The sequence below is a fragment of the Homo sapiens genome, chromosome 6, assembly GCF_000001405.40.
Source record: "Homo sapiens chromosome 6, GRCh38.p14 Primary Assembly".
In the NCBI taxonomy this organism is placed as follows: Eukaryota; Metazoa; Chordata; class Mammalia; order Primates; family Hominidae; genus Homo; species Homo sapiens.
The window spans coordinates 160,368,483-160,393,979 of record NC_000006.12 but is presented as its reverse complement, the minus strand read 5'-3'; the positions used below and the strand labels follow the sequence as shown (position 1 = coordinate 160,393,979).

The 25,497-nt window shown below is 42.0% G+C and overlaps 1 protein-coding gene and 1 long non-coding RNA gene across 9 annotated transcripts in view, besides 1 other annotated feature; one reads left to right on the top strand and one right to left on the bottom strand.

Annotated features, from left to right (window-relative positions):
* Positions 1-25,497, bottom strand: part of SLC22A3 (solute carrier family 22 member 3) — a 104,200-nt gene that overhangs the window by 58,598 nt on the left and 20,105 nt on the right. Inside the window, exon 1 of one of the 8 annotated variants that reach the window (XM_011536075.3) lies at positions 1,485-1,827. The exons of the other annotated variants lie outside the window; for them this stretch is intronic. The gene's annotated coding sequence lies outside the window, so the exon portion shown is untranslated. Of the gene's footprint in view, positions 1-1,484; positions 1,828-25,497 lie in introns of those variants that run through there. 8 annotated transcript variants of the gene reach the window in all.
* LOC124901453 (uncharacterized) lies at positions 1,827-24,294 on the top strand. Its single transcript, XR_007059843.1, has 3 exons — positions 1,827-9,129; positions 10,236-10,326; positions 23,534-24,294. It is a non-coding gene; the product is annotated as an uncharacterized LOC124901453 (long non-coding RNA).
* Positions 7,070-7,571: an enhancer, noted in NCBI's record as "H3K4me1 hESC enhancer chr6:160807441-160807942 (GRCh37/hg19 assembly coordinates)". NCBI's record gives its function as "activates a minimal SCP1, AML or CMV promoter by ChIP-STARR-seq in naive H9 embryonic stem cells {active_cell/tissue: H9 hESC(naive)}" and the evidence as "EXISTENCE:reporter gene assay evidence [ECO:0000049][PMID:30033119]".

Here is a 25,497-nt window from a genome sequence, read left to right as displayed (position 1 = left end):
TGGTGTAATGTAAGGATAACATTGCTTCGTTTTGCAGAAAGCCTGAGTAACTGTAGCCAAATGAGAAACTTTTGAAGGGTTTCCAAGTGAAGGTTTTTCTTAGCTTTTCTTCTTTGTTAAAATCCAAACAGACATTATGTTAATTTGAGTTGTAATGATGAAATGCTGGGGCAAGTAATTATTAGATATATGCTAAAGTTGTCATTTCTAAATTATCCTTAAAACAAGAGCAACAAATAATCTCCCATTTACAAAGGTCAAAGGTAAGAAGCAAGGCAGAAAATAATGCAAGTATTCAAAAGGCATAGAAAATGTGGCATATATACACCATGGAATACTATGCAGCCATAAAAAATGATGAGTTCATGTTCTTTGTAGGGACATGGATGAAGCTGGAAACCATCATTCTCAGCAAACTATCACAAGGACAAAATACCAAACACCGCATGTTCTCACTCATAGGTGGGAATTGAACAATGAGAACACATGGACACAGGAAGGGGAACATCACACACTGGGGACTGTTGTGTGGTAGGGGGAGGGGGGAGGGATAGCATTAGGAGATATACCTAATGCTAAATGACGAGTTAATGGGTGCAGCACACCAACATGGCACATGTATACATATGTAACAAACCTGCACGTTGTGCACATGTACCCTAAAACTTAAAGTATAATAATAATAAATAAATAAATAAAATAAATAAATAAATAAATAAACTCAGGAGAGGGGCCTCATTTGCTCCTCAGACCATAGGGAATGGACCCAGGTGACCATCAGCTGGATTTTTCCACTGGGTTCTAGGTTAGCCCTCTTGAACAAATTCTCACTTAAGAGATTCTAAGATTAGACGATATCACAGTATTTTACTTTAGTTATAAGCCATCGGAAATAGCCCTCATTTGCGGTGTGCATTGTTCTAGGAGAAAGGGAAGTCTCTGAAGTCAAATTGCAATATCTATGTGCTTCTGTTTTAATTTTCTAGGGATGAGTTGTCAATGGAACCTTTCCTAATCAGCTCTTAGCTTGAAATCAGGAGTCACTAAACTCTTCATCAGTATTAAAAATAATAATAATAATAATAATAATCACTGATACTGTCAGGTGTGGTGTGCTCCTGGCTACATTTTGCACTGGCCAAAACAATGACATGTAGACCTCCATGGGCAACTTCCATTTTTAATCAACCACACAGTACCATAACAGAGCCTAATAATGGCTAAAAATTATAGTAATCATAAATAATAATTTGGTTTGGGTTTCCATGAGGAAAAAGGATGTCATTATTAATTTGGGTCACCATGAAAAAATTTTAACATGATCTGATGGCACTATTTGGGCACCTTCATTTAATGTCAAAAAGTTAACACTTCTTATACTACAGGTATAAAGAGTAATTATCAGGTATGTTGGAGATCACTCCAATTTTGTTTGCTTGGCATTATGCCGAGAAGGCTGGGAGGAATACCAGGCATATACACACCTTGTTTCTGTCCCTGGGAGGTACTTGTTATATAGTTTGGGAGCCAAGGTCAATTTCTGTGAAGCAAATGTAGAGCAGCTGAGATCTAAACAGAATGGAATCGACTAAATGTAAGATAATTTCAAACAAAGAAATGGCCCATGGAGGTAAGAGCAGCTGGAGACTTGAAGAAGGTTGGACCAGAGAAGGTCCCACAATGAGCTGGATTTAGGTAGAAATCAAAGGAAAAAGAAGGGCACTGAAGACAAGATGAGGAGCAGGTCCAGCCACAGAGACAGAAACGTGGGTGCCAACAAGGTTCTGCCTGGCACATGACTGGGAAGTACACTGTTTTAAGCTGGGCAGCTGCTTCTCCCCATCCCACCTTTGATGGGGAAGGGAGTGTGGGTCCAGGGCCAAGACAGGAAACCAGGGGATCTGCAATGATTGCCCAGAATGGGGTGATTTAGTTTAATGCAGAGAGGCATCATTATGAGATATAGGCTCTTAGATCCTCACTTGTCATAGAAGCTGTTCTCCAAGGTTCATAACTATCAGGCTTTACTGTAGGTTAGGCAGCTAAGCTTCGAAATAGGAGGGAGAGATGTCTTCTAAATGCATCACTTTTTTTCTAAACTTGTGAAATTGGGAGACATGAAAGTATTAAATCTGTTTGAATAATAATTCCTGTCATTTATTAACTTCTGCCCTTGGTGACTCATCCTCAGGTTGTACAAGATACATATGATACGTCAGCCCCTCTCTCTCCAGGCTGTTTTATTTCTTTGTAGTGAAGGCTTGCAGTTACGCATCTTAAAATGTTTACAATTTCTCTAAATAACTGAGACTGTCTAAAGACGAGAAGAAGATGAAAGGTTCTAAATATGTTCTGGGTTCTCTTGGCAAAGACGAGTCCTAGTTCTGGAGCCAGACAGCCTGGATGTCTTGACTTGGCCGCTCCCAGGTCTGTGTCCTCTGGCGATTTTCCAACATTGTTGACTCTTGTGTTCCTATCTGTAAGATGAAGAACTGGAATGATGAGTCATTGGTATAATATACATAAAGTACTCAGCCCAGTGCCTGAGACACAGTAACTGTCCAATAAATGTTACCAATTGCATTATAATCAGTGATATAATGCTGATGATAATAAAATATATATATATAGAATTACTTGAGGTAAATGAAAAAATGCCTGAGCCCAACTCCAGTCCAATTAAATAGGATTTAGTCTAATATGCAGTTGATATAGAGGTTATCAACTATTTACCTGCTGGAAGATAGTTAATTTCAGCGTATTTTATAGGACTGGCTTCCCCCCTCCCTCAACACCCTACATTTTATGTCTACCTGAAACCTCAGAAGTTGACCTTTGGAAATAGGGTCTTTGTAGATGTAATGAGTTAAGATGAAATCATGCTGTATCAGAGCGGGCCCTAGTCCAATGACAGGTATCCTTTGAAGAAGAGAAAACAGAGACACAGCCACATACCAGAAAAAAGGCCATATGAAGCCAGAGACAGAGATTGGGGTGATGCATCTACCAGCCAAAGAGTGCCAAGGACTGGCAGCAGTGCTGGAGCCAGGAGAGGGGCATGGAACAGACCCTCTCCTAGAGCCCAAGAGACAGCATGGTTCTGTGCACATCTTGACTTTGGACTTCTGGCCTCCAGAACCAGGAGCGAATCAATTTCTATTTTCTGAAACCACCCAGTTTCTGGTATATTGTTTCATCAGCCCTAGGAAATGAATACTCCTATCAGTTTCACATAAAACAAAGATTAATAAAACAACAAGGAAGATAGCTCTCTCTTCTGCATTCTCACTCCTTGGAATTCAGGGATGAGCTTTGTGCTGAGTCCTGGTCCACACAGCTGCATCTCCCTGGTGGCTCACTCATCTCATTCCCCAGTTGCAGCCCCCTGGAGAGAGTGTACATCTTTTTCCCACCTCTCAGGTGTCAGCCTGGACCCGCAAGATACTGGCTTCCCAAGCAGAGAGGACCCGACAACCTAGCCATGATGGGACTGTCTCTCAGGACAGACTCTGACCAGTAAAAGATGGAGCACAGGAGAAGAGGGAGCCCAACCCCCTCCATGGCTGTTCTGAGACACAGATATTCCACTAGACTTTGCAGAGCTCCCTGGGGAATGAGGCCAGTGCCTTGGCTGTGGAGTTGTGGCTGGCTTGGGGTTCCTCGCTCTGAATTGCTCTCCCTCCTTCCTGCCGCTCTTGCTTTCCCCCCTCTTCCTTCCCTAGGATGGCAGCCCTTGATCAAGAATTAATATATAAGCTTTTGCCCCAGGCTCCGATTTTTAGGCCACTCAGGCTAAGGAGTGCTTAACAAGTGGATCATAGCCATCTGAATAGGGCTACTCTATTTTAAATTCATGCCTCCCCATTTTGGAGGAGTCTGTTTAAAAAAGTATACATTATAAGTGGTGATTAATTAGTTCTAAGTAAGTTAATCAAAGGCACAAATACTTGGCAAGCATAGCTACTGTTTTTCATGAACTAAACATCTTGAGTCACTGCATTGATTTAATGCAATTCCATCCAAAAGGATGAGACCCACACAGAATCCCACCCAAGGCCAACCACGTTAGACTTCACTATACAGACTCTGCCCCATCCCTGCTGGAGCCAGTGCTGACCAGGTTCAACACAGTCTCCAAGGCTGTCAGCCCAACCAGCAGGTCCTGCTGCCTGGATGGGTTTTGTTGCTCTCAGCCCTGCAGCCATAAACCTGGCACTACCAGGGTTTCCCTTCCACTAAGAGAGAAGAGTGCTAAGCCGGGGCATGAGTTAAGAGCTGAAATTGCAGCCTCGCTCTGACCATCTGGGTGTAGTATCATCAACACTGGGAGTACAAATGGTCAAGAAGGGACCAATCTCTGACCTGCTCTACCAGTGGGCTAGGAGGAGAGACGTGTCACAGAGTCAAGTGGACATGCCACGCTGCACATCAGGGCACAGTGACAGTTGCCTGACACCCCTTACTTGCTCCAGTGGCAGTGGCAGGACTGAATTTTGGAGAATTACCCTCCCCACTGTGAACAAGAACAGAACCCTGTCAGTTAAGGTGCTTGGCCATCCTTTGCCGTGGCCTCCCACATGGCCACGTTGGATTATTCCAAGGACTGGCTGACAGAATTGATGTTCTCCTGCTTGGCACTTGGTAGACTCTCCATAAACACTCGTTCATTGATTGGATCAGTCAGTTGGATATTCCAAGGAACTGGCACAAGACTGATATTAAATACAAGACAAAAAAATGGCTCATGATTAAGGGCCAATTCTATGGAAAAATCAGGTCACACAACTTTTTAATCAAGTGAGATGATCAGCCTTCTATACGAGATATTTCATCATCATGTCATCTGACCGTGAGTGTTCTGGAAAGATGACTAAATTGGATGCTCTAGCCAGTGACTATCTAATACATTCACCTCTTTGGGAGCCCAAGAGGGGAGTCTTCCCCTTGGCTTCTCTCCTTGGTTTGGGGGTAACTGACAGCCAGTGCCCTGCAGCTCCAGTTGTCTGGATTATTGCATTTCCTAACACTGGTCTCGTACCTGCCCAAGCAGGCCATGACTTAGCAGCTGATGCACAATGCAGCTTTGGGGTAATTCTTTCTCTGTTCCTTTACTCTCTAATAAAGAACCACAATCAGGTAACATCTCTATTTTCATCATACTTATTCTTGTTGCAGATAATTGCTGTTAGCTTCTTAAGCTGATTCCTGTAAAGTTTATTTGTAAGAAAATAAAAATAGTGAATAAGGTGGTGTATAGAACAGTCCCAAAGGGAAAAATGACTAAATTCAGAAGCACAATGTAGACAGGCAACTTAATGGGGACTGGACTCACAATAAGAGGCATTTCTATGAGCATTTTATAGAAATATTTTTTATCATAAAATAAGCAATTAAAGTAGAGATTGAGAAACATACAGCAACTTAGTAAATCATTATTTTCAAAAGGAGAGCTCATGACTTAACACAGTGTTCTCAAAGTGTGGTTCCTGGTCTAGCAGCAACAGCATCATCTGGGAACTTACCAGAAATGCAAATTCTTGGGATCCACCTCGGGCACACTGAGTCAAAATTTCTAGGGGTGGGTCCCAGAAATCTGTGTTTGAATACACTTCTCCAGGGGATTCTGATGCACACTCACGTTTGAGAACCACAACATAATGTATTGTTTGTATTTTTTTTTCTAATTGTACACTCTGACATGTATTGCTGGTCACCTTCTAGGAAGCCAAAGAATATGACTGCAGGCATGGGCATTGTAGACAAACTTAATGCATCTGTTTTCTATTGCTATATAACAAATTACCACCAACTTAGTGGCTTAGAATAACACATATTCATGATCACATGGTGCTGTAGGTCAGAAGGCTGGGGGAGGCTCAGCTCTTCTCCCTGTTAGTGTCTCCCACGCAAGGTGTCAGGGGCAGGCTGAACTCCATCTGCAGGCTCTGGGGAGGAATCTGCCTCCCAGCTCATCTGGGGCATTTACAGAATCCCAGTCCTTGTGGCTGTGGGACTGAGACCCCCATTTTCTTGCTGGTTGGAGGCTGGGAGTACAGAAACAAGGTCATGCCCATAATAAAAGGAGTTAGAATTCATTTCCAGATTATAATCCAGGTAATAGACATTATCTCCAGGACAAGGGTGAAATGCACATGCTATTCTGGGAAGATACTAGGAGAACTATTAACTGAGCACATTTCTGGATTTTTGTTTGGTTTTCTTTACTAGTTTTTACCTTGGAAAATACTGACAGCATTTCTGAAGATACGAGATCCAAAGCCTGATGGGGCTGGCAAACAGTCAGAAAAGTCTAGGGCAGCATTTCCTAAGGTGACGCCTATAAACACTACTCCCATGAGGCCTCCAAAAACATGAGTGGAGACCATCATACATTAGTATAATGTCTCGGATAGCCCTTCTGAATGCAGACATTCCAATACATTGACATTTTAAGGTTCTGACAAATCCTGTAGCAAAGAAATCTTTTTGCCTAAGCTGAGATTGGGTCTACATGTATTTCCTTGGGAGCCCCTCTTGCTGTGCAGTATTGGAAATACTGCTCATGAGTGTGGCAGTGATAACTGTAAAGCCAGAAGCAGGCTCTGGGAGAAAAGCCGGGGGTCAGACTCCTGCTCACTTACAGGCAGTGAGAAGAGTTTGTCTTTGGCCTCCTTCCCTCTGTCCAATGCTCCTCCCCCACCACTCTTTCTTCACTTATTTGCTTTCCTCTGCCAACCTGAAACCTACAGAAAGCAAAGTTGGGCTGGGCCTGTTTATGCATCTTCCCAGGTTTTCCTGGCTCTGCATGCCCCTGGCCTCGGCAACTTGCTATGTGGGTGCTCGGGCAGTTGCCACCAAAGTCTGTGTCCTGACCTGTCAGCTGTCTATCTTCCCCAGAGGTAAGAGCTGGGCCTGGGCATGGCTGCCTTGATGCCATGCGCATGAGTCACAGCAGCTGCAGTGCCAGGTTGTACCCTGCTGGAGGAGGACTCCTCCTGCAGTGCTTGGAGCAGGGATCTGGCTGTCCTGGTGGCTGCATGACAGTGAGGTGGCCAAGCGGCCTGGGAAGTGTGCAGTGTGACCATCAAGATGAGAAATAGGAAGGAGCCAGGAGGTCCATTCCAGATGCATTACTCTCTCCATCCTCTCCACAGATTCCAGTCCCATAAGAGGCTCCAAAGCAACAGCAATAATGACACCATGCCTTGGGGTAAGTGCTGTGCATGCCTGCCGACCTCTGCCCTTCTTGGAGAGCAGGTGCCCTGGCTCTGCCAGCCCTTGGAAGATGTCTGTGCTGCTGGTGGCAGCAGCTGCTCTATGCATGGGATCTGGAGGGCTCTGTGGGGACCCACATGTGTCCACTTTCCTGCCCACTCTGCCCCACTCCCCTTCCCTCACTCTGCCCGCCTGGGCCTATACTTCCCCTTCCCACAGCAACCTAGCAGAAGCTTTGCTTCTCCATGTGTTTTCTGAGAAATCCAGGCTATGAAAAGATATAGGGAAACTTTATAAGATTTTCTCAGAATAAGGACAAAAGACTTAAAGATAATCTCACTCAAAGAGATACCCTAAAAACCAAGAACTGCACTTGAAGAATGCAATTGGGGACAAAGTCACAAATACCCTGCAGTGCCACAACCTTTCCTCTTCAAATATTTCCTTCTATTTCCCCTTCCTTCACCTAACCATGAAGGGGAAAGGGCAGACTTCAGAAAACAGAAAAGACAGGCTGGAAAACAGAGAGTGAGATATATGGGCAGAAGTATAAGGAGCTGGAGGCGAAAGCAAAAGCCCCAAAGGCAGCAAGACCCCAAGAGGCTCCTTCATGTGCACAGGTGCACAGGCAGAAGGTGCCCGTGCTCAAGGTGCTCAAGGTGCACCCTGCTCTGCAGAAGGTGCAGGTGGAAAAAGCCACACCACTGACAGTCCACATTCATCTCCAGGGGCCTGGATTCAAACAGTTGAGAGACACTGCTATGCACAATAACAAAATAAGACATAAGAAATAGACCTTGGCTTCCAATTCCTAAAGGTCACTGAGTCACAGATTTATGGATTCCTCTCTCTCCCCATTCCAATTGAAAGGACCCAACCAATACATTAACACAAATTCCAAGCCACAGATAGAAACTAGAGAATGGTCATGCCCACAGACTCAATACTTGGGGAAGTTTTGACAGAGAGCAGAGCAGGCAGGAGCCATGTCATCTGTCCCAGGCAAGAGAGCCTGCGAGGGAGGTAAGCAAGGATTTATGGATCCATTTTTCTGTTCCCCTTCACTAACAGCTCCTGCGTCGGCTGGAAGGCAGAGGAAGGCTGCAGGGAGGATTCTGGGGTCCAGTTGTGCAGGAGCCCATGGGTCCAGCTGCGCACAGTAGGGCCGAGGAAGCTTGGTCCTGGGTGCAGGTGTGTGTTGAGGGACTGGAGGCCACGGGGCAGACAGTACAGAGGTCAGAGGGGCTGAGCACCTGAAGGGAGGGCTTACCTCCTTCCCTAACTGTCTTGTTCAGCCCCATCAAACTCTCACAAGGAAAAGTGGCCAGAGCTCCTGAACCCTTGGATATCTCCCCCTGAGCCCCACCAACCAGAAAAAATACAGTAACTGGGAAGTGAAAGAATTGAACAAGGCACTGTGTCTCCCATGACAGAACGCAGGGCACCTGCTACACCGAACAACTCTGTCCATCTACAGATATGAAGAGAAGATGCTGGCCAGGCAGGGCAGCAGGGCTCAGCACAATTCTTCAGAAGAGCAGAACTGGAGAAAATGATTCCATGCACAACAGTACACAAGAAACAAGAAGTAACTAAAAACCTGAATTCATGCTTTCAGTGAGACACAAGAGTCTGCTGCATTGACAAAATGAGAGCAATTAATCATGAAAAAGGAGCATCCTGCAAAAAGGAATCATTGGAGATGAAAATTATAACTGCTGAACTTAAGAACACTGGGAGGCAGGGAGCTGCCCACTGGCAGCCAGAGGAGAGTGAGCAGGACCCGGAGCGCTGGTTTGATAAATGCACCAGGAACCTGAGAGCATAAGCCACAGAGGAGGAGACTGTGAGACAAGAAGAGGAGCCCAGAGAAAGCCCACTGTGCGGAGCCTGCTTTCCCTGCATGGGAAAGAGGTGAGTGGAGACATGATGAGGCACACAGATAAAGTCCATCATGTGGAGATGGCTTCCCCTGGGTGGGAAGGAGGGGAGCGGAGTCACAATGAGGCCCACAGAGAAATTCTGAGGGTGGAAGGAAGGTGGGAGTCGAGCAGCAGGTCATGGAGGGAGCACTTAGATCTCCTTCCCACCCAGCCTCCCAGACCCCTGGGGCTGCCTGGAGGAACCGGAGATCTGGGGATCTGGATGCTCCTCTTAAAGCTTGCACGATTCTCTTGTGTTCAGCCCCACTGGCTCCCCTGGCTTAGAAACACCTGAGTCTTTCCTGGTCTCTAAGGTGTGAGTTGCCCCTCCCTGAATGCTCCTGTCTCCCGCCTTCCTCACCCTTAGTGTGAGATTCCAGTTTCTCTGCTGAACTAAGTCAATTATTGTCTATATTTATTGATTTGGACTGATATCCACATTCTGAGTAAAAATTAAAATCAGATTATAAAACTGGGCATATGATTCCATTGGTGTAAAACACCCCGAATTTATGTATATACAATCATCCTCAGGAGATGACCATAATCTGGTGATTCATTCTAGGACCCTCCTTGGATACCAAAATCCACAGATGTTTAAGTCCCTGATATAAAATGATATAGTATTTGAGCCAGGCGTGGTGGCTCACTTTGGGAGGCCGAGGTGGGCAGATCACACAGGGTCAGGAGTTTGAGATCAGCCTAGCCAACATGGGAAAACCCCGTCTCTACTAAAAATACAAGAATTAGCTGGTCCTGGTGGTGTGCGCCTGTAATCCCAGCTATTCAGGAGGCTGAGGCAGGAGAATTGCTTGAACACAGGAGGCAGATGTTGTAGTAAGCTGAGATGGCACCACTGCACTCCAGCCTGGGTGACAGAGTGAGACTCCATCCCCCCCACCAAAACTGATGTAGTATTTGCATATAACCTATGAATATCCTTCCATACACTTTAAATTATTTCTAGATTATTTACAATACCTAATACAACATAGCTATGTAAATAGTTGTTATACTGTATTGGTTTTTATTTATATATTTTTTTTTGCTTTTTAAAACATATATTCTATCCATGGTTGGATAAATCTGTGGATGCAGACCCCATGGATAAGGAGGGCAGACTGGACACTGAAATGTCAGAAGAGGACACCTATTAAACTGACCTAAAGTTCTGAGTGGTTGGTGATTGGTGAGTTTGTTTTCACATTTGCGTTTTATCCATTTCTTTTTGTATTGATTGTGTTTTATTTTTATGTAGTTAAAAAATATATAAAACTATATTCACTTTGGAAAAAAAAAGAAATTCTATGTATAGAATGTGAAGTCACACATTAGGAGGGTGGGGAAGGAGTTTTCATTGAGGGAAATAAAGTGTAGTGAGCATAGCAAGAGGAAAGCGGGAAGGGCCCCCCAGGGTCAGATGCAATATCTATCGGAGGCTGATTTGGGGTGCAGTGGAGTGGGGTGCTCTTTCTGACAATTACATTTGAAGTAGTTGTTAGTGGAAATTGGGGTGAGTTGGAGTGGGGTGGGCAGACTGCCTTTAAAAGTCTTTCAAATGATATTTAGTTTCACTTGAAACTTAGGAAATAATTTAAAATGTGAAAACACTGAGGTTAACCAAGAACCTCTCTCTAAGTACAGTTAATTCTATAATGCCTAAGGAAAGTTCACTCGAACTGCTGACAAATCCAGTTGTGGTAAATGAGTGTTCCTGGCATAGTGCAGCCCTAATTCACTGCCATTCCCTCATGTCCTGAAGCCTAATGCACAGGCAGAGCTTGGATTTTGTGTGCTGGACTCCTTGATAGTGTTTTTTGTGGGTATTTTTTTCTTTCTATTCTTAAGATTGGGCCATTTTTAAAAATCTATTGTCAATTTCACTTATTCTTGCTTCTGCCATCTCCAATATGCTATTGAGACTGTTTAGCAAGTTTGTTATTTCAATTATTGTACTTGTTCAGCTCTGGAATTTCCATTTTTTTAATAATGTAATTTCTCTGTTGAGATTCCCTATCTACTCATTCATTAAGACAATTTTTCCTTTAATTCTTTTAATGCCCTTTGGTTGAGCATATCTACAATAGGTGCTTTGAAGTCTTTGACTACTAAATTCAACATGGAGGCCTATTTAGAGTCAGTTTTGGGTGACTGACAATTTCCATAATCTCCCAGCCCCAGGCATTATCACATTCCTGGTTTCCTTGCATGTCTTACTAGCTTGATATATCAGAGGACAGGGCCTAAAGCTAGTAGATAATAGTCACTGCAGCCTTTCTGAGTTCTATTGTGCTCTCCTGGTGATCATTGGCTTATTGTTCTGGTAAGAAGTTAGCTGACCTGGACTCAAACTACAAGCTCTGCTCTCCTGTGATATGCAGCAACTGACAAATCCCTAAATTTTTCAGCTTCTGCAGTTGCTTTGTTTCAGGCTGGCCTACTGAAGTCTCCCTTATGTTTGCATAAGTTGGTGGTCAGCCAAGTATTTGGAAAGAGTTTATATTCAGATTTTGGGGTTCATCCTATCTGTGGTTCTCCCATTTCTAGGGAAACTTGCCCTCCTAATTTCCAGCTGGTGTGCCAGTTTTAGGCTCTGTTCTCTTACATCTTTAGCCAGCAGGGCCTCAGCTTCCTATCACCCAACGTGCACATGGATTCAGGAAATGTACTCAGTTAATAAGTGAATAAATGGATCTGCATTTTTATTTCTTTTTCTAAGACAAGTCATACTGGATGAAATTGGGAATCAGCATGCTTTGGCTCTTGTAATATAATACAATACCTACAAGATAATATTGCCTGCTTTCACATTTAAAAATTATAGGAAATGTGCTTTCAGACTACAAAATAATTCTAAAATAAATGATTTATTTTATTAAGAAGACTAAATAATTCCTACCATTATACATATGTCCTTTAGAATTTTTAACTTAAAAAATTTTCTCCATTCCACTGGACTCACTAGAAATATAACTAAATGAAGTGTTATTGTCACCACATGTGATGCTGGAATCTCAGAGGTAGGACAGTTATAGTAGTCTCTTTGATCCCAACCCCAACACATCACCCTAAGTAGGTTTTCAGTTCCACTTTCCATTGGTAGAAAAATCATGGCTGAAAATAGACATCATAATAATCTCTTTGCTAATAAAAGGCCTCTATTATTCCTCTTCATAGTTGTAAAATAAATCATTTATGAAAATAAAATCAACGAGTTTACATTCCACTTCTTTCTTAGGCCTAATTAAGTGTGTGTCTCAATTTATGTGTTAAACCTTGAAGATATTGTAGTATAACTTTTAACTATTAGTGTTTAAACAATATATTCATATACTTTCCCTTTAGAACAGTGTTAATTAGAGTTGTGCACAGTGTCCAACTCACACTTTTCCCAGTATTCTCAGTTCCAGAGACAACAGTCAGCCTTGAATACTGGAGAGGAGTCAGCTTCTGTTTTACCTTACTCCATGATATCAGCCATAACTCCTATTTGAAGTTCAAGTTTCAGAATGCATGCTTCCAAAAATGTGTCTGCTGATATGCTTTTGAAAAGTGTTACATCAATGTACAGATAAAAGACCTTCAGGCACTGTCTTTATAAGATACTACTAAAGTAATAATCCACCATAGAATAAGAACAGCTCCTACATGTGGTATTAGGAAGGAATGCCTCTTTTTGTTTTTTTGCCTTGGAAATGAGATTATCCCTGCTTTGATTAAAACCTTCAGTAGCTCCCCACTTTTACAGAATAAAGTTTGGGCTTTTTGTATTTATTCCAAGGCCTTTCTCATTGTGTCCTGGCACATTTTTCAAATCCTGTCACCTTCTCGGCTGCACTGGCATATTCACCAATATTTGAATTATGTTTACCTTTCTGAGCTTCCAGCTGTTCTCTATCAGAGCCTTAGCAGATATCTGGTTCAGTTCGCTCTAGAAGCTGAACACCTCAATTGTGACCACATATCTTGAATTTTCTAGAAAAGTCCCAATGCCGTTGTATTTTTAATCTCTAAAATGAACTTGGCACTTCTCAGTCTATGTGTCCCTGTTTTTTGGTTCAGAAACTATGATTTACTACGTTATCATTCTATGTCATCAGATTAAAAAGCTGATTAAAAAACAAATAATTTTAAAAAGATTATTGCACATAACTTAATTTTTTGAAAATTTAAATAGCATAGTGACTCTATAGAAATTAGAAGAAAACAACAGAAATCATTATCATCACTTGCATTTCCACACTGATATGCATATTTTTCTAGACCTTTGTCTATGTATTTATGCCTATGTATATGTTTTATAAAGATAAAGTTATGTTCTCTTAGTATTTTAGTTGAGTGGCATATGATTTGTGAGTCTGTGAATCTTTTATATCATCATCATAAAAGGTTGCATTTAGTACATTGTATATATGATCATAATTCTCAAACCAATCTTTTATTTTGGAAAAGAGATTACATGCCTTTACTTTTCATTATTGTTACAGAAACACATTGAAAACCTGTTTTCAAAAAAGGGATACTAAACCTATAAGAATTTTAAACTATAGTCAAGTCATAGGAAGAAAAATAAATGCACTGGGTATAAAAATTAAATTATAATTTCAGTTTATTATTCCAGTTGTTTTATAAACCTCACATTCCAACTTATTCTAAAACAAGTTTTTAAAATATTATGTAACATAATTTGGTAATTTCTGTAGATTACAGATTCTTTTGTGAAATGTCTAACAGACCTTCTAAAATAAATACACTTGAGTATATTCTATAAATATCCATTATTTTCTCCACAAAGTTTTTAGCCTCATTATGTGAAAAATATGACACAGGATCTGTCTAGATAAGCCTCAGTTTAATTATAGTGATTACAACTTCTTCATATAATTGATTTTGTATACCTTATATGACAATAATCCTCTGAAATAATTAGGAGTTTTAAGGACTTTAGAAGAGTGTGATAAAGACATAAAAATGACTCAACACTTTTGAAAGAAGCCTGTCCAGATTCAATGATGGGAGAAATAAAATCTGGTGACATAGTCAGCATATATATTTCAGATGTATTGATCTTCATGTGACTTGTGAGCACAGGTAAGAAATGAAATACAAATCAGAAAAACATGGCAAGAACAGAGCATGAGTCATAGCTCCTTGCTTTCTGATGACTCTAACTGCAATAATCCATGGTGACTGGTTTGTATTTGGAATTACACAACAATTAGCCAAAAATGGGCCAAGTGTTTAATAATGGTAAGTACTAAAAAGCAAAACTAAACACACAGGATAATAATAATGCAGATTTTCACTGACTTTTATGGTTCTTTGATTTGGAAAAAGGAAGGTACTAAATTAACCCATCAGGAAGAAAGAGACTTTGGGACTTCACTGTTGCAAAAAGTAGTTCTATCACATTTAGTTGGCATTTTGAAAAGAGTGTCAGAGGATATTCTTTTGCTACTAGAAATTTTCCTCAAATACAGAGAAAGTGATATTGGGCAGCTTTGTGCATTCTAAGACCCCATGTAAGGAGCAGGAGCAGTGCCACAGCCATCATGATGTAGACAGGGTATCAAGGGAGAGCAAAACAGATAGAGGAAAAGCATTAAAAAGTACATTTTTTAAAAACCTCAGAATGAGTTTCACTATCCCTTTCAAGGAAAGGAAAAATAGGGACAACTCTCCCTCCTTGCCTTGATGTGAGGGCATGATGCTGAGTTCTGTGTAATTGTTGGGGCTGCTTCCAGGACTTCTAGACTCCAATCTCTTTTGGCAATCTGCCGCCATAAAATGTCAAGGATTGCCTGATCTACAGACGGTCCCCAACTTAGGATGGTTCAACTTGGCGATTTTCGACTTAATAATGGTGTGAAAGTGATATGCACTTAGTAGAAATGTACTTTGTTTTTTAATTTTGATCTTTTTCCAGGCTAGTCATATATGCTGGGAAGTGGCAGTGAGCCACAACTCCCAGTCAGTGATGCGATCACAAGGGGAAACAACTGATACTATATCCAATAAATTACATGAGCTATTTAACCCTTTATTACAAAATAGGCTTTGTGTTAGATAATTTTGCCCGACTGCAGGCTAGTGTAAGCATTCTGAGCAATTTAAAGTAGGCTGGGCTAAGCTATGATGTCTGGTAGATTAGGTATATTAAATGCATTTTTCAACTTATGATATTTTCAATTTAACAATGGGTGTATCTGGATGTGATCCCATCCTAAGTCGAGGAGCCTCTATATATTACTGTCCACCAGACATTCCACGAAAAGAAATTCTAAGGTGGAGGATAAGGGCCACCATATCTGATTAGATTTTAATTTCCGTCTTTCAACATTATGGTAGCCCTTTTTCTCCACTTGGAAAGCACAGTTGCCAAAGATTTTCAAAATCTCGTCAGAACATGCAGTAACACGTGTACCTTTTAAAGCTTGCCAAAGCCTACATTTTCTAATAAGAACACCCTCTTATGACATAGACAGCTGACCTGATGAAACACCAGCACCAGTGCCATATGAAAATCCACCTTTCCAGAATATGAAAACTAGCCTACAGAATTTAAATATTTAGTATTTTCCCAGTTTAATGTGTATCTTTTTTAAACTTCTAAATATCATTGACTTTTATACAAATATTAGAAAGCTATATTCTAATTCTACTACCATATTTTTGAGCTCAACATATTATTCTAGAATCTTCACAGCCTCAGTTTTGTTCACACATAAAATTAGGGAACACAAATCAAACAATCTTGAAGGCTGGGGCTTTCTTGTTCTGATATTTTCTGATTCTGTGAATGTTGAAGGAGTGTTAAATACAAACACCAGGTTACTCATATCACTGAGAGGATTACCATTAGATTAGGAGAAAAACATACAATGAAAAGGTTTACAGGAGGAACATAACACTAAATAAACCAATTTCACAAAGCAAAAGCTACTGTTAGAATGAGTGAACAAATTTCCACAGGTTAAAAATAGTGAACTGATTCAAAGAAACAAAAATCTTTGAGCCAAACCTACGTTTGCTTAGCAGCCTCTGCAGAGGGCCCCTCTTCCTCTTGTGTCTTGCATCCACTTTTACTTTGTGTTTTGTTCTTTTGGTGGATTGTGTTTGAGAGCAAGAGTAAGTGAGACTTGACCACAGAATTATTTTCATAACATTTCCAGTTGATTGGAATCAGGAAAAGAGACTCGAGAAAACTCTTAATAATCTTAGGAGAGTTTTGGCAAGGTTTTCTGGGCAAAGAGCTTCAAGGAAGTCCACTCCAGCCTTAAGACAATAGGATTATTGACTGAAGTCAACCTGGAGATGGAAGCTTTGCAAACGTTTCCCTGTTTTTCTTTCTTTTTTTTTTTTTGAAATAGAGTCTCACTCTATCAGCTGGAGTGTGTTGGCATGATCTCAGCCCACTGCAACCTCCACCTTCTGGGTTCAAGCAATTCTCCTGCCTCAGCCTCCTGAGTAGCTGGGACTATAGGTGCATATCACCACACCCAGCTAATTTTCGTATTTTTAGTAGAGATGGGGTTTCACTATATTGGCCAGGCTGGTCTCGAACTCCTGACCTCAAGTGATCCACCTGCCTCAGCCTCCCAGAGTGCTGGAATTACAGGTGTGAGCCACCACGCCAGCCCACATTTCCCTGTTTCAACTGGAGAGTTTATAATTATTTGACAAAGGCTGCAGACCAAACTTTGTTATCAAGCTCTGAAGAGCTCTGCCCATGGAAAGATCTTGTTTCTAGTCTCCCCGCCCCTACACCAACAGCATCTTTCCCAAATTCTTTAGCATACCAAAAGCTGTCCTTGCCAGGTGTTGGATGTGATGGAGTGAGAGAACAGGCCTATCCCACAACTGGGGTGCATGTTGATTCTGCCAGCTTCAGGACAAAATTAACTTCTCACCCAGGATTGCCATTCTAATTTGTCATGGGACCTGAGGTCACATTAATAATAGTTGTGCAAAGTCCCAAATTGATAACATTTACTTCTTAATACATTTTATAAATAATTGTTTTCATTTGGTTACTTGGAGTTATTAAAACAAAAAATATATATACAGGGACTTCATGGTGACCCAGCTTTAAGGCCTCACAGAGCTAAAAGGAGGTGCCTCTCTGGGCTGGCTCCCTGAACATACTTTAACAGAACAAGTAGCATAGAGCGATGCAGCAGCCTTCAACAATTGAGCAATTTTTATTCTACACATCCAGGTGTTCAGGTGAATAAATACACAGGTAGATGCCTAATCACAAGTACCATGGCATGCTTCAACTCTAAAATCTAGTGGCTAAAATTCACTTAAAAAAAAATTTTAGTTTAGTTTAAGTTCTGGGATACATGTGCAGGTTTGTTACATAGGTATACGTGTGCCATGGTGGTTAGCTGCACCTATCAACCCATGATCTATATTTTAAGACCCACGAGCATTAGCTCTTTGTCCTGGTGTTCGCCCTCCCCTCACCCCTCTCCGCACCACCCCCCTGCCCCCACGCCAACCAGGCCCCGGTGTGTGTTGTTCCCCTGCCTGAGTCCATGTGTTCTCATTGTTCAACTCCCACTTATGAGTGAGAACATGTGGTGTTTGGTTTTCTGTTCCTGTGTTAGTTTGCTGAGGATGATGGCCTCTAGCTTCATCCATATCCCTGCAAAGGACATGATCTCGTTCCTTTTTATGGCTGCATAGTATTCTATGGTATATATGTACCACATTTTCTTTATCACTGATGGGCATTTGGGTTGGTTCCATGTCTTTGCTATTGTAAAATTCACTTTTTTTGAGACTTCACATTACCTTTCTGTGAGCCAGGCTTTAGATTAGTTTCTCTACATCTCATTAAGTCCTCCCAACAATACTGTGAGGTAGACATGATTATTATCCTCATTCTACAGGTGAGAAACCCAAGACTTAGAGGGTTTAAAAACCTAGTCAGAGGTTCCAAGCTAGTTAGCAGGTGGAAGCCTAAACTCAGACCTCTGACTCCTGGGTCCATACCTCTCAACCCCGAGAACAGCCATGAACAAAGAAATGCAATTTTTTTCAAATTGCTGAAATATGCGTTCTTGATTTAAGCAGGCTCAAGAGATCATTCTTAAAACACTTGTACTTAGGTAAATATACAGTGCAGGAAATATGCAAGACTTTCAGAATTTAAAAAAACTTGTCACTGTTCTTTCAATAAACAAGACTTTATTCCTTTCTTAAGTGAGCTACTTTCATCATATTTTTGCCAATTGAATATTGTCCCACACTTGCTCTGCATAAGCACTTTCTGAAACTGGTATAAAAAAGTTGGTATCTTACCAGTCTGGTTTTTATTTCCCTCTACACACCACTTTGGCAGTTTATATTGCTTAGAACCCATTGCTTGGGGGTGGAGGGTGGTGGGGGGGCTAGGAAATGTGTAAGCTTTTGATTACAAGAGTTATGCATCTTGATCTTAAAATTATGTTTGCTTTGCAAAGAAGAGAAGGTTCTGGAATAGAGTGTCTCCTTGGCAGTTTATATGTCTTTATCTTGGCTCAGACTTAGGCCAGACAACAAGCAAGCTGCCCACTGCTAAGACTGCATCTATTCTGTGAAAGCCTGTGGGGCATTTCAGGAAGGCAAGGGTCCTGGTTGTGTGCATGGAGGTGAAATCTGGCTTTTCATGAGCCTGATTCCTTCCATTTCTTTCAGGAAAAAGAGGAGCAAAGCCATCAAATTTCCAGATCTGGCTTGCAAAATTTCTGGAAAGACATGCTGCTACCAAGGTTTTGGGTGAGCATGTGGTCATTTCTGCCTTGCCAACTTCACTTTCCCCATTAGGACGGAAGTGGTTGTCAGCCTTCTATGCGAGTTGGACAGCACAGTCTGCACGTGCTCTTGCTCTGTCTCTGTGGAGTGCACCTGGGCAGCAGAGATACCCCAGCCTCTGGCACTGCACTTGCCTTACAAGTTGAAGGTAGAGACAAGACACACATTCATTTCTTTTAAAAACATCATGCTAAGTCCAGAGGTTGGCACCCTTCCCTGGAGAGGCCTGAACGCCCTGCCCTCCCACTGCCAAGTCTTTCTTTTCTCTTTCCTGTGGCCCTTCTTGATCCAGGTCTGCTCTAACTGGAAAGCCAGGTCCCCAGAGATGAGCCCTGTGGTGCTGAGGAGGTGGGAGTCAAGGGAAATGCCCCCCATCTCCAAAGCCAGGGGCCTCTCCACACACGCTGGGTAATTTTGGGACAGCAGGGATGATGTCTGTCTCACAAGACATTGCCACTTTAAAGTATTCAAGATCCTGTATTTTCTACAACCTTAGTGAGGCATGAGCATATGAAGCCAGTGAAAAAACAGTTCATTCATTCATTTATTCATTCATCCATTCAAAAGACTTTCACAGGTGGCAAGATGGCTGAATAGGAACAGCTCTGGTCTGCAGCTCCCGGCGAGGTGGATGCAGAAGGTGGGTGATTTCTGCATTTCCAACTGAGGCACCAGCTCATCTCACTGGGACTAGTTAGACAGTGGGTGCAGCCCACAGAGGGTGAGCTGAAGCAGGGTGGGACATTGCCTCACCCAGGAAGTGCAAGGGGTTGAGGAACTCCCTCCCCTAGCCAAGAGAAGCCTTGAGAAACCATCCTGTGAGGAACCATGCATTCTGGCCCAGATACTACACTTTTCCCATGGTCTTCACAACGTGCAGATCAGGAGATTCCCTCGGGTGCCTATACCACCAGGACCCTGGGTTTCAAGCACAAAACTGGGCAGCCATTTGGGCAGACACTGAGCTAGCTGCAGGAGTTTTTTTCATACCCCAGTGGTGCTTCAAATTCCAGCAAAACAGAACTGTTCTCTCCCCTGGAAAGGGGGCTGAAGCCAGGGAGCCAAGTGGTTTAACTCAGTGAATCCCACCCCTATGGAGCCCAGCAAGCTAAGATCCACTGGCTTGAAAATCTTGCTGCCGGCACAGCAGTCTGAAATCGACCTGGGACACTCGAGCTTGGTGGGGGAGGGGTGTCCATCATTACTGAGGCTTGAGTAGGTGGTTTTCCCCCTCACCGTGTAAACAAAGCCTCTGGGAAGTTTGAACTGGACAGAGCTCACCAAAGCTTGGTAAAGCCACTGTAGCCAGACTGCCTCTCTAGATTCCTCCTCTCTGGGCAGGGCCTCTCTGAAAGAAAGGCAGAAGCCCCAGTCAGGGGCTTATAGATAAAACTCCCATCTCCCTGGGACAGAGCACCTGGAGGAAGGGGCAGCTGTGGGCACAGCTTCAGTAGACTTAAACGTTCCTGCCTGCCAGCTCTGAACATAGCAGCAGATCTCCCAGCACAGCACTCAAGTTCTGCTAAGGGACAGACTGCCTCCTCAAGTGATTCCCTAACCACCATGCCTCCTGACTGGGAGACACCTCCCAGCAAGGGTTGACAAACACCTCATACAAAAGAGCTCTGGCTCACATCTGGTGAGTGCCCCTCTGAGACAAAGCTTCCAGAGGAAGAAACAGGTAGAAATCTTTGCTGTTCTGCAGCCTCCACTGGTGATACCCAGGCAAACAAGGTCTAAAGTGGACCTCCAACAAACTCCAGCAGACTTGCAGCAGAGGGGCCTGACTGTTAGAAGGAAAACTAACAAACATAAAGGAATAGCATCAACATCAACAAAAAGGACATCTACACAGAAACGCCATCTGAAGGTCACCAGTATCAAAGATCAAAGGTAGATAAATCCACGAAGATGAGGAAAAACCAGGGCAAAAATGCTAAAAATTCCAAAAGCCAGGACACTGCTTCTCGCCAAGGGATCACAAGTCCTTGCCAGCAAGGGAACAAAACTAGATGGAGAATTAGAATTACTTTGATGAATTGACAGAAGTAGGCTTCAGAAGGTGAGTAATAACAAACTCCTCTGAGCTAAAGGAGCATGTTCTAACCCAATGCAAGGAAGCTAAGAACCTTGAAAAAAGGTTATATGAATTGCTAACTAGAATAACCAGTTTAGAGAAGAACATAAATGACCTGATGGAGCTAAAAAACACAGCATGAGAACTTTGTGAAGCATACACAAGTATCAATAGCCGAATCAATCAACCAGAAGAAAAGATATCAGAGATTGAATATCAACTTAATGAAATAAATCATGAAGACAAGATCAGCAAAAAAAAGCATGAAAAGGAACAAACAAAGCCTCCAAGAAATATGAGACTATATGAAAAGGCCAAACCTACGTTTGATTGGTGTACCTGAAAGTGATGGGTAGAATGGATCCAAGTTGGAAAACACTCTTCAGGATATTATCCAGGAGAACTTCCCCAACCCAGGACAACAGGCCAACATTCAAATTCAGGAAATTCAGAACACCACAAAGAAACTCCTTGAGAAGAGCAACCCCAAGATACATAATCGTCAGATTCACCAAGGTTGAAATGAAGGAAAAAATGTAAAGGGCAGCCAGAGAGAAAGGTCAGGTTACCCACAAAGGGAAGTCCATCAGACCAACAGTGGATCTCTCTGTAGAAACCCTACAATCCAGAAGAGAGTGGGGGCCAGTATTCGACATTCTGAATGACAATAATTTTCATCCCAGAGTTTCATATAACAGACTTTAAACCAACAAAGATCAAAAAAGACAAAGAAGGGCATTACATAATAGTAAAAGATCAATGCAACAAAAAGAGCTAACTATCCTAAATATATATGTACACAATACAAGAGTACCCAGATTCATAAAGCAAGTTCTTCGAGACCTACAAAGAGATTCAGACTCCCACACAATAATAGTGGGAGACTTTACACTGTCATCCCACTTGTAAACAAACTTAAACAAATTTACAAGAAAAACACAACCCCATCAAAAAGTGGGCAAAGGATATGAACAGACACTTCTCAAAAGAAGACATTTATCCGGCCAACAAACACATGAAAAAAAAGCTTGTCATCACTGGTCATTAGAGAAATGCAAATCAAAACCACAATGAGATACCATATCAAGCCAGTTAGAATGGCAATCATTAAAAAGGCAGGAAACAACAGATGCTGGAGAGGATGTGGAGAAATAGGAACGCATTTACACTGTTGGTGGGATTGTCTTCCACCATTGTGGAAGACAGTGTAGCCATTCCTCAAGGATCTAAAACCAGAAATACCACTTGACCCAGCAATCTCACTACTGGGTACATACCCAAAGGATTATAAATCACTCTACTAGAAACACGCTGCACATGTATGTTTATTGTGGCACTATTCACAATGGCAAAGACTTGGGAACCAACCCAAATGTCCATCAATGATAGACTGGATAAAGAAAATGTGGCACATATACACCATGGAATACTATGCAGCCATAAAAAAGGATGAGTTCATGTCCTTTGCAGGGACATGGATGAAGCTGGAAGCCATCATTCTCAGCAAACTAACATGGGAACAGAAAACCAAACACCTCATGTTCTCACTCATAAGTGGGAGCTGAACAATGAGAACACATGGACATAGGGAGGGGAACATCACACACCAGGGCCTGTCAGGGGGTAGGGTACTAGGGGAGGGATAGCATTAGGAGAAATACCTAATGTAAGTGACAGGTTGATGGGTGCAGCAAACCACCATGGCACATGTATACCTATGTAACAGACCTGCATGTTCTGCACACATATCCCAGAACTTAAAGTATAATAATTAAAAAATAAAAAGACTTTCACAGCCTGCTCCTGGGTGGGAGGCATGTTGTTGTGCACTAAGGGCTACAGAGACTGGGGTTTGGTTTGCTAGAAGCTTCCAGGTGAGCCCCAGTGATGTGATACGTGAAATAGAATACAAAAGATAATCTACCAGAGAAACACAGAATGCGATAAAAGCACAGAGGAGGGAGAGGAGGTAAGCTGGGAGGTCTGTGTCAGGAAAGGCTTCTAGGCAGCATTTGAGCCAGGCCTTGAATAACTGATTGTATTTGGACACAAGAAATGAGGTAGAAGCAAAGATTACAGCAAAGAAATGAGAGGAAGCCTAGGACAGGATTACAATATCAGAAAATCAGACTTAAAAACTTAATGATAAGGGGCAACTTAATAGCTCTGCACAGTTTACAAAGCATTTTACTATCTATTATTTTATCTGATTCATGCAAAATATGAACTTAAGTCTCAAGACTCTTATTATATTTTATTTTTAGGAAGCCTGGACTGAAGGAACAAATGTGAAAATAGTTTAAGCTTTGCAAAATCCTACATGAAGTAATATGCTACTATTTATTACTAATGATTACAAAGTATTAGAATAGAGAGTATAGTATAACTAAATCCAATGTACATATTGTTTTATTAATGCCACATTCCCCTAGCCCAGCTTGAATAATAATAACATAAGAGCATTAACAATGCCTGGTTCTAACACTGGATTTCATGACTCTCTGTGATTACTTTTTAGAAAGATGGAGAAGCAATGAAGAGACATTCACGTGGATACCCACATATGCAGGGAAAGTGCCCACACATGTTTGGACTGGAGACAAACTACAAGAGTTGATGTCCTTGAGGAGGGAGACTGGGACTATCCAAAGATGGCATGAGTCCCCCACACATGCTCTTTCAAAACTTTGCCCCACCTTCATCAGGAAATGGCATCTAATTCCCTTTCCCTTGAATCCAGGAAGGGCTTGTGACTCTCCTGGAACTGACAGAATACAGCAGAAATGAGGCAGTGTGACTTCTGAGGCTAGGTCCTGAAAGGCAATGCAGCTTCTGCCTTGTGAGCTATTATAGAACACACCTGTGGGGCTCTGAACCACTTTGTAAGACGTCTGCAGCCACCATGCTAGGAGGAAGCCCAAGCTACACAGAGGTATCATGTGCAGTTGTTGCAGCTAACTGAGGGCCCAACTGACAGCACTACTCTCTGCCAAATCAGTAAATTAAGACACCCTGACGGCTCCTGCCCTGGCCATTGGGTCATCCCAACCTCTAAGCCTTCCTATCTGAAGCTGCACTTTGTGGAGCAGAAAGAAACACTCCTTCTTGTGCCTGTTCGGCATTCATGACTCTCATAATCTGTGAGTAAAAAAAAATGGTTGTTTTAAATCACTACGTTTTGAGATAATTTGTCGCACAACAATAGTAAGTAGAATTTCAACTTGATGTATAATGGCTTATTTCTCTGCAAAAAAATCTAAATAAAATACAACAAAATGCTAACATTTTTTCATTTGGGGAGGTGGGTACATGTGTTATATTTGTTAGACTTTTCTTTGAAAGCTTCCTTACTTTTATCTAACATGAAATACAAATTGTTGAAACTTCCAGTAAATTTACAAGTGCTAATGCTAAAAAATAATTCTAAAAGACCCACAAAAAAGATATTTACATTTTACTTTGTATATTTAAGGATTAAAAAATGGAGATGAAAATACAGAACTATAAAGTGGGCAATAAAGATCACAAGCAGGCATCACTGGAAGTGCTATAGTAATGGTTCTACACAGTAGCAAATTCCGATATTGTTTCCCATGACTTGTAAATGAGCTAAACATTTTCATAATAGTCTGGAAAATGTTAGCATGCTACAGCAGCATTATTTGTATGATATCCATTTTAGAATAACTATGGATTTTGGCCTGATAAAAACAGGCATCCAGGAATAATTTGTCAATACACTATGTCAGGCTTTGAAATTTGGGTTGTTTACAGATGGAGCATTACTGAAAAAATAAAGAACAATGGCAAAATGCAATCATTGATATGAAAATCCCCTGAAAGTATCTACTGTTCAAGTAGGCACTTGGAAATTATGGCATTGGAGACAATGAAATACATGATAGTTGACCTAAAATTCCTTCAACATTTCACTAAATAGAATGCTTTCTACAGACCAGCTCCAGATTTCAGATTCATGGCTCCTGGAAGTATGGGTGAATCAGAAGCCTGAAGCATGGCCAGTTGTGTCCATCTGTTAAATGTGTTTGGCTTTATCAGAGCTTGGACAGAATATGCAAGCAGTGAAATAAGAGATGTACCAGGGAGCACGAAATGAGCAGAACGGTGAAATATGAACCGGTGACTATGGCAGCTACCTGCGCCAGCCACAGGGGTCCCTACAGAGTAGGAATCCTATTCCTGGCTTTTGCACAGCTGACACTTTGGTGTGATACATAAGACCAGGGGTGAGGAGGTGAGTGAACAGCAACCTCAAGGTCATCAGAGACCCTGGGAAGCACAGATTCTGTGGTGTGGCGGGGATGATGGAGACCACACTAGGTTGAGGAGTGAGTGGAAGGTGAGAATGTAGAGATGATGAATGTGCCTATGACAGGGAATTACAGGTGCTCAGCTGCAGAGGAACACAGGGATAAGGGACACTGCTTTAAATAGCAGGTGAACTTAAGCAGGTTTAAGCGT